This window comes from Homo sapiens, chromosome 12, assembly GCF_000001405.40.
Source record: "Homo sapiens chromosome 12, GRCh38.p14 Primary Assembly".
Lineage (NCBI taxonomy): Eukaryota > Metazoa > Chordata > Mammalia > Primates > Hominidae > Homo > Homo sapiens.
In genome coordinates this window covers 74,812,064-74,821,351 of record NC_000012.12, presented here as the reverse complement: position 1 = coordinate 74,821,351, position 9,288 = coordinate 74,812,064, and the positions used below count along the sequence as shown (strand labels likewise).

The 9,288-nt window shown below is 38.8% G+C and overlaps 1 annotated feature.

The window, feature by feature from the left end:
- Window positions 570–1,185: an enhancer, noted in NCBI's record as "OCT4-NANOG hESC enhancer chr12:75213947-75214562 (GRCh37/hg19 assembly coordinates)". NCBI's record gives its function as "activates a minimal SCP1, AML or CMV promoter by ChIP-STARR-seq in naive and primed H9 embryonic stem cells {active_cell/tissue: H9 hESC(naive and primed)}" and the evidence as "EXISTENCE:reporter gene assay evidence [ECO:0000049][PMID:30033119]".

Genomic DNA, 9,288 nt, shown 5'->3' with positions numbered 1-9,288 from the left:
GGAACATTTAAGCCATAACATATGGATTTAACTACATGGCCCTAGTTTGCAAAAATATAATAATAACAATTAAAATTATTTGCTGGCTTCAGACTATATCCAGAAAAGAGGAAACCAACCAACAAGGAAAAATAACCAACATTACAGCAGAGTAATGATAGTAGATAATATGTAATGAGTGCTTACAATATATCAGACATAGTTCTAAGTATCTAATAAATACTAACTGAAATACCCTCACAACTCCCTCCTGAGGAGGGTGCTATTATTGTCTTTACTTCTCAGATTAGGAATCTAGGCTTAGAGAGGTTAGCAAGAGTAGGCACTGAGAATTTAACTCAAGAAGTTTAGCTGTAGGGCCTGTACCTTTAGCTCATTAATTTTTAGCAGGATTCCTCAGGTAGTGAATGGAAAATGTTCTAACAGAATATTTGACATATAGTGATGACTCAAAATTTAACCAAAATTATAATTTTTAGAAAAAGAAATAAAGTTTTTGACATTCACTGCATTAAAGTGCAAATTTTAATAGTAGTGCAACAGGGAGTGTTTAACCAGGGCAAATAAGGACTTTATAACAACCTGTGCCCCCCAACCCCTACCTCACACTGCAGAGGTCTATTCCACAGACCCTGACCTAAGGATGGATGAATAACATACACTGACACAGATATTTTGCCTGTCAGTCCTGCAGAGGGTCTGGGCCACTTACCTGCACCAAGGATGGTGCTGTAGAGTTGCAGCCACAGCCCTATCAGCCAGCAAAGCTCGCATTTATTCAGTATAGATTAAATGACAAAGGTCTTGAGTAAACACCACTAGAGGGTAATTGTCATTGTGACATTGCAACTTCCTGAATAGAGAGCAGTTATGTACTCAAGGTTGATCAAAGGCTGGTCTTAGGACCACAGGAGTAAACAAGGTATTTAGATAAACTACTCTACATTCCTTTGTATCTGCACCCTGAGCTATTAACTCAAGGTAAGAATTAGGCTGCCTTCAGCCTGATCTATTAGTGGAGCTTATGAAACCCCCCTCCAGCCTTCCAAGAAGGTTTGTGTCTATTTCTTATAACTATCTTTAAAATTTTTCCCACTGGCCTGACTGAACTTCCATGCTGCACCACATTTGTGATTTCTGTCACTGCTTCATAGAGAAGGTGAAAGCCGAGAGATGAAAACGAAGACACAAAGGCAAAGGTGATTGAGGCTACATGTTCTCAGTAACTGAACAAACTTTAATGCTCCCTCACTGGGTTTCAATCCAATACTATTAAAAGTTCTTGAGCCAGGAGGGCCAGATTCTTCCCTTAGTTACACACATTCAAAATTCTCAACCAGTTGATGGATAAATAGATAGATAGATAGATAGATAGATAGATAGATAGATAGATAAATACATGCACACATACATGCATAACCTTTCCACCTTAGGTAAACCAGAGTAGTCTCTCTGCCAATTCACATAAAGATTCTAAGTACCCTTGAGATAACAGTGATAAAAGGGTACAGATTTCTAAGCTTCTTTATGAAATAAATGTGTCACCAAGGATAACTACTATCACTTCATCCTGTAATTTTATTGTTGCTTTTTTCCATCCGAACCTGAAGCCCACTTGCATAAGCACAAGTAGTAATACCACAATTCTGATCAATAAAATGCCTGCTCCTAATGGTTGCTACAACCTAGGAAGCACAAATAACATGAACTAAACAAAGTTTCTTCAACCCATGGCCTGCAGGCCTTATATGGCCCAGGACAGCTTTGAATGGAGCCCAAAACAAACTCATAAATTTTCTTAAAACATTATGAGATTTTCTGTGACTTTTTTTTTAAGCTCATCAGTTATTGTTAGTATTAGTGTATTTTACGTGTGGCCCAAGACAGTTCTTCTTCTTCCTATGTGGCCCAGGGAGGCCAAAAGTTTGGACACCCTGGACTAAACAGATCTGCCCTTGGAATTTGCTAGACTTTTAGAAACAATTCAAGTAGAGCTCACATATCTTATGTCTAAACATTTTAACTTATATATCAAAATTATTTGAATGTAGGTGAAATTCTAAAAATGTATATTTATTTTTTGAAAAATTTAATTAAATTTTATACATAATTTTACAAAAATAAAGTGACTCACTATTTTAATGTTCAATACTCATCTGGTCACCCATGTAAATAATCAGTATCATGATTTGTTCATGTTAGGCCTATACCTACATATATACAAATATAATGAAAGTATTTAGGTACAAAATGTTCCTCAGCTGCCAAACAACTGTTGGGAATATATTGCTAATTTGTGAGAAGCCCCTAAACCACAGACTGAAACACAAAGAAAAGGCAGAAATTAGATGCTGGACAATACTGGGAAATGACACTTTGTTAAACAAGAATATATTCCATTCATGCCATTTGAAAGGAAATATTTGACAAGTCTATTTATTTGTCTTTTAGTCAAATAAGGACAACACTGCACAAATTCTGACTGCAATTCACCTTGAATATCTCTGATTTATAAACCTTCAGAGCATTTGAATGCAGTGATTTTTGTTTTCAGAATATAAGTGAAGGGAGTGTACATTAAATTCACTGGAGTATGAATGCTGTAAAGCATGAGAGCAAACACTTAGGATTACGGGTTGCAATGTTCTAAGGCTTAATGCTGTCTTCCTTCCTGAGAGATGTGTACAAGTTTTTCATTAACTTATTTTATGCGTGTGCATTTCTGACATACAAATTCTACTAGCTGTGGGGCCCATGGGTGGGACTCCTCTTGCCTGAGTGTAAGGTCTATGCAGATTATAACATCAGAGTAAGGAATTAGCAAATTGTGGAGAAAAAAAATCAAGACAGTGATGAGCTTTGAAATTTAGGCAGCAGACTTTACATGCCACAAAGAAGACAACTGAGAACCATTTTGTTTATTGAACAAAAGAACATTCTAAAAGTGGCATAAAATATTTGTTGAGATTCTGTTATATTAATATTTCAAATCTTCCTAATAGCCCTTCAGATAATGAAAATAATTTTCAGTTATTTATGCAAGGATTTGACTTAATTTTTTTTCATAGGACAGAAAGTCAAGTAAAATTCATGAATTAACAAGTAAATATTTATCACATTATGTGGCTTATTCATGATTAAGCTGGAATTTGAAATTATCTGCTTTTTGCAGTCTGTGACCTACACAACATGCCGTGCCTTTTTGATGTCATATTTATCCATCTTAATGAAACTTGTTAAAAGTGTTATTCTATGTGTGTGGATGAACATAGATTTATTTAGAATATGTTTATTGATACTACAATGGTACCATGAATTTTTCTGCAAGTATTGATATAAAAATGCCAATATCTGAATTGACTATTGTCCCAAAGTCTAAGTAGCTAAAAAGCCCAGGGCATTAGGTAGTTTAATCAATAGTTTTAAACTCATAAACACTCAATGATAAGACAAGTGATGAGTGTTGTTTTCACAGGATCCTTGGGGTGTCAGTTCACCAGCCAAAAACCTCTGTGGTCAGTGGTGCCTTCCACCTGAGTTTGGTTCATGCCTGCTGGGCTAGTTCTGTCCACTCAGCCTGGCAGGCTGTGCTCAGCTCATGCCACCAGGCTCAATCCCACAGCTGCCAAGGGCCAGCCCAGTGCAGAGTGATGAGAGGTGTGTGGGTGAGCAAGGATGGGGTCTGGGCACTGCACAGAGCTAGGCATGCTGGTTGCTGTGGCACTCTGGGCAGATTCATGCAAGGCTGCAGCTGGACCAGATGTACTGCATGTGGCTTCCGTGTCTCGACAAAGGGAACACGGTGTGCCCAGAAGCTTAGAGACACCAGGAAACAGAGAGCCCTGAAGAGATTGTCACAGCCTTGGCTCAGGGAGCCCCTAGACCTGGGCCCCTCATAGGGCCACAGTTCTTCTCTCCTTCTCATTGCCCATGCGATGCAAATGTGTGTGGGCAGGGTGTGTTTCAGCCCTGTTTGTGTTACAGCTCTTTCAGTCCCACCATTCAGCGGTTACCAAGTTTCTTGTCCCATGTCCAGGGAGAATGAGGTATGTGGACAACTGAAGGGTGAGCAAAGCAGAGAGGAGCTTCATTGAGCAACAGAACAGTTCTTAGGAGACCTGAAGTGGGTAACTCCTTTCCACAGGCAAGTCATCCCAATAAGTATCCAGCTCTCAGTGGAGAGGAGATCCGCAGTAGGTAGCTCCTTTCTGCAGGCAAGTTGTCCCAGTGAGTGGAGTAATACCTTTCTGCAGTGGTAGTCTTGACGTCTGTTTAAGTGATTGAGTCTGGGGTTTCTATGGGCTCAGAAGAGAGGAAGTACATGCTGATTGGTCCATGGGCAGCCATGGGGAGGCCTGGAAAAGCAGCATAAGTTCTCACTCCAGGTGGCAGACTTCACCAGGCTTCCACAGAACTGGCAGCCCAGCCCACAGGCTTCAGGCTGTTCCTGGCTTGAAGGTGGGGCTTCACCAGGGATCTGCCCCTTTCCACCCATGAACCTGTCTGTCTCCTGCCATCAACATGCCATCCACAGCACCCAGGCTGTTTGTGCCAAGGGGTGGAAGGCCCACGCTAAGCTGCCCTTAGTCCCCACCTCAGCCTCCCTCCCATGTTCGTCAGCACCCAAAGTCCAGAGGGTGCTAAGGAGGCAGGGAGCTGGCATGTCAGAGTCACTCTAAGTGCATGCACACCCGGCAGGGTTGCGACAGTGCCCAGGCTTGGCCACAACTTTTCTCTGTCCCGGAGTGGATGCTGGGAATGGGAGCAGGAACTTTCAAGCCTGCAGGGGCTTCCTGGGCCCCCAAGAGCACAGAGATACCTGGGTCCATAGCTATGGCTGGGTGGCTGCTTCTGTGCCCAGGAGGGCGGTGCTCCCATCCTGCCAATTCGGTAGGGGGCAGGGCTCCCCCGGTTCCCAGCCCCTGCCAGTTCCACAGAGGGCACAGTCTCAGCCATGCCTCCCCTGCTGCAACTGGCATCTTCACAGCAGCTACTTCAGAAGGGCCACCACTGCCATCATTTCCACTTAGATACAGTTAAAATGTTTTGTCCTACAGTTCTAAAAAAGGTAAATAATTATGCTAAATGCACAAAATAATTATAATTTGTCCTGAAATGAAAGTAATGTATTATGAATGCTCTTTAAGTATGAGATAATTTTACGTCACTCTCAACCATAAAAAGTTAAAGAAAAGGCCCAAAACATTCGAAATAGTATTCAACTCACTCATAATTAAATAAATGCCAACTAAATAATGAAACCCATTTCATTCTACAAAATTGGCAACAATAACAAGTTTGAAAATATATATTTTTGAAATGTGTGTAAAAGAACAAATATACTCAACATTGCTGTTAGAATTATGAATCAATACATTTGGAGGACATTTTGGCAACATATTTCAAAATTTTAAATATTATATGCCTTTACCTAGACATTATATTTCTAAAAAAATTATCTAATGTTATACTCACACAAGAATGCAAGACATTCCCAAGTGTTTCCCTTGTAACATTGCTTCCATTTATGAAAAAAAATTTTAAAACTTACACATCCATTAATATTACATTAGTTTTTGTGTGGTAAATATGTACTGACCTGAAATGATTTCTTAGTGTTTTGTTGTTACGATTTTATTGTTGTATCTTGTTGTTTTGTTTCTTTTTCAGAGACTGGGTCTTGCTTTGTGGCCCAAGCTGAAACTCCTGAGCTCAAGTAATCCTCCTGCCTCTGTCTCCCTATTAGTTGAGATTACAGTTGTTATGGTTTTATTACAGCAAAAGCCAGTTAAGGGTAATATAGATTATAGGATCATAATTGTGCCAAAAAGAAAAGGGCACATCTTTATTTTTTCTCTCCATTCCTTTATTTTTATACTGGATTGTTGGCATGGTGACTGAAGTGGAACAGATTTGAAACCATAACAATGAAAGAACATGTTAAGGATGACAGAATGAACAAATAGAAGGGGCCTCCAGCTCTGATGGCACTGTAGAGCTACTCTATTAGTCCGGGACTGTTTGCTCTTCTGGGATCCCTGTAAAGTAAAAGAATAATAATAATAACAATTATATATCTATGTATATACACACACACACACACACACAGAGAGAGAGAGAGAAAGAGAGATATCTGGATTAAGCATGTCACATGCAGCAAACCTAATGCTAAATCATACAATGCTAGTACTGTGTCCCGAATTGGTTCCTTCTGGTGGGTTCCTGGTCTCGCTGACTTCAAGAATGAAGCCGCAACCCTCGTGGTGAGTGTTACAATTCTTAAAGACGGTGTGTCTGGAGTTTGTTCCTTCAGATGTTCAGATGTGTCTGGAATTTCTTCCTTCCAGTGCGTTCGTGCTCTCACTGACTTCAGGAGTGAAGCCACAGACCTTCGCAGTGAGTGTTACAACTCTTAAAGGTGGCAAGTCCAGAGTTGATTGTTCCTCCCAGTGGGTTGTGGTCTCACTGACTTCAGGAATGAAGCTGCAGGCCCTCGCGGTGAGTGGTATAGCTCATAAAGGTAGTGCGGACCCAAAGAGTGAGCAGCAGCAAGATTTATTGTGAGGAGTGAAAAAGCAAAGCTTCCACAGTGTGGAAGGGGACCCAAGCTGGTTGTCACTGCTGGCTGGGGTGGCCTGCTTCTACTCCCTTTTGTTCCCACCCACATCCTGCTGACTGGTCCATTTTACAGAGTGCTGATTGGTCAGTTTTACAGAGTACTGATTGGTCCATTTTACAGAGTGCTGATTGGTGCATTTACAATCCTTTAGCTAGACACAGAGTGCTGATTGGTGCGTTTTTACAGAGTGCTGATTGGTGCATTTACAGTCCTTTGGCTAGACACAGAGCACTTATTGGTGCATTGGGAATACAAAGTGCTGATTGATGCATTTACAATCCTCTAGCTAGACACAGAGCGCATTTTTACAGAGGGCTGATTGGTGCATTTACAATCCTTTAGCTAGACACAGAGTGCTGATTGGTGAATTTTTACAGAGTGCTGATTGGTGCATTTACAATCCTTTATCTAGACACAGACTGCAGATTGGTGCATTTTTACAGAGTGCTGATTGGTGCATTTACAATCCTTTAGCTAGACACAGAGTGCTGATAGGTGCATTTACAATCCTTCGGCTAGACAGAAAAGTTCTCCAAGTCCCCACGCAACCCAGGAAGTCCATCTGGCTTCACCTCTCAGTACTCTAATTTTTATGCTACAAAAGACTAAGCTGATTGTGCTTATGTTATTTACCTAGACTTGATCAACATGTTAGTGAAAGCACGTCTAAATGAAAAAACTCAACCATTTTGAAAATAATTTTATCATGTATCAGAGAATTTAGGGAGAATATATGAACTTTGAAAAATACAGTAGATAAAATGAAGTAAGATAAGTTTTTTGTTTGTTAGAACTGTACTTCAGTATTAAAATGCTTTTTGTCTTATTTTCCCTGGTTTTGAACAGTTAGTAATTTTTAAAACTAATTTTATATTTTGAATACTTTCTTTTCTGGTTATTTTAATGTATTATAGCCAATATGCTGAAAGAGAAATAGCCATTCAGGTGTCACAGTACTTAATATCAATATTGCTTATAATATATATTGTCAATTATGTGGTGGTGATTATTCTAAAATGCTAAGAGCCTGAAAATATATAGTAATTTAAATCATTTTTACAAGGGGTTCATTATAGAAACAATATTGAAAATATAATTGAAGCAAGTTTGAATCAGTTTCTATAGTCTGGGATCAATTGCTCAAGCATCTTCTCAAATGTTAAAAAAGAAATAAGTTGTTATAGCAAATTATATTAAAATGCATCTGGTTTGTTAGAATATGTTGTTTCAATTATACTTTGTACTGAATTTCAATTTCCTAAATGTCTTATATTCTTTAACCTTAGTGGGAAACAATCAAATCTCATTTCTTCCTGCTGGGAGACATACCAGAAAACAAGTTTTTAGTTTAAAGTTGTATTAGGGATAAAAATACCCCTCATGTAAACACTACTTTGGAAAAAGACCTATTCTTTAGCAACGCCTGGCCAATGTGTGTTTCTATGCTATTTTACGTATTTAAGTTCACTACACTGTACACCTCAAAAAAAGTAGGAGACTCACCTCACATATTCCCACTATGTTTAGCATCAATGAATAAATGAATGAATAATTAAATAGAATATTTTAGATCTCTTTGCCACCTTTAAACATTTATCTCTCCTATTTCTCAATCTGCTTTCAGAATTTTACTTTAAAATTTTTCCTTAAAATTTTGAATGGTTTCAAAAAGACCTATAATGTACTGTGAAAATAAAATTGTGAGCATTCCATGCATTAAAAATACCAATAAGAAAGATGGCTCTTGAATTAGAGCTCCTATATTTGATCCTGATGCTGACTTTACCATTCACTTACTGATACTGAGGCTGACACTTTAGAGGTTTTAGGTGGTCACTAAAATCTCTTAGAAGCAGTAGTCATTTTGTTTTCTTTCTGGACATGTGAACAGTATATACCTTCTCTGTGGACCATTATAAGTGCATGGCATGCAGTAAGTACCCAATTCATGTTAGAAATTATAATTTTTATTTTATTCTATCTTAGATTACAAATACCTTCTTTTTTATTTATTATTATTATACTTTTAAGTTTTAGGGTACATGTGCACAATGTGCAAGTTAGTTACATATGTATACGTGTGCCATGCTGGTGCGCTGCACCCACTAACTCGTCATCTAGCATTAGGTATATCTGCCAATGCTATCCCTCCCCCCTCCCCCCACCCCACAACAGTCCCCAGAGTGTGATGTTCCCCTTCCTGTGTCCATGTGTTCTCATTGTTCAGTTCCCACCTATGAGTGAGAATATGTAGTGTTTGGTTTTTTGTTCTTGCGATAGTTTACTGAGAATGATGATTTCCAATTTCATCCATGTCCCTACAAAGGACATGAATACCTTCTTGTCCTAGCAGCACACTACTTTCCTAGCATCAGTTCTCAGTAGGTCTTCAACATCCTTTGGCAATATTTAGTTATTAATTATTTTCCAAATATTATTCTGTACTTTTTAACATCTCTAGACCTTTTATAGTATAATAGTTTAAACTCTTTCTCAAGGTACAATTGAAACATCTTCTGGGAGAGATCACTGACCTCCACATTAACTAGATCCAAGCATATGGAGTTTCTATATCATGAACAGTAGTTTGCATTTCACAAGTAAATAACAAACATTCAGATGCTATCACTTTTGTAGAGCTTCTTTAAAGTGCTACTCAGATGGAAGAT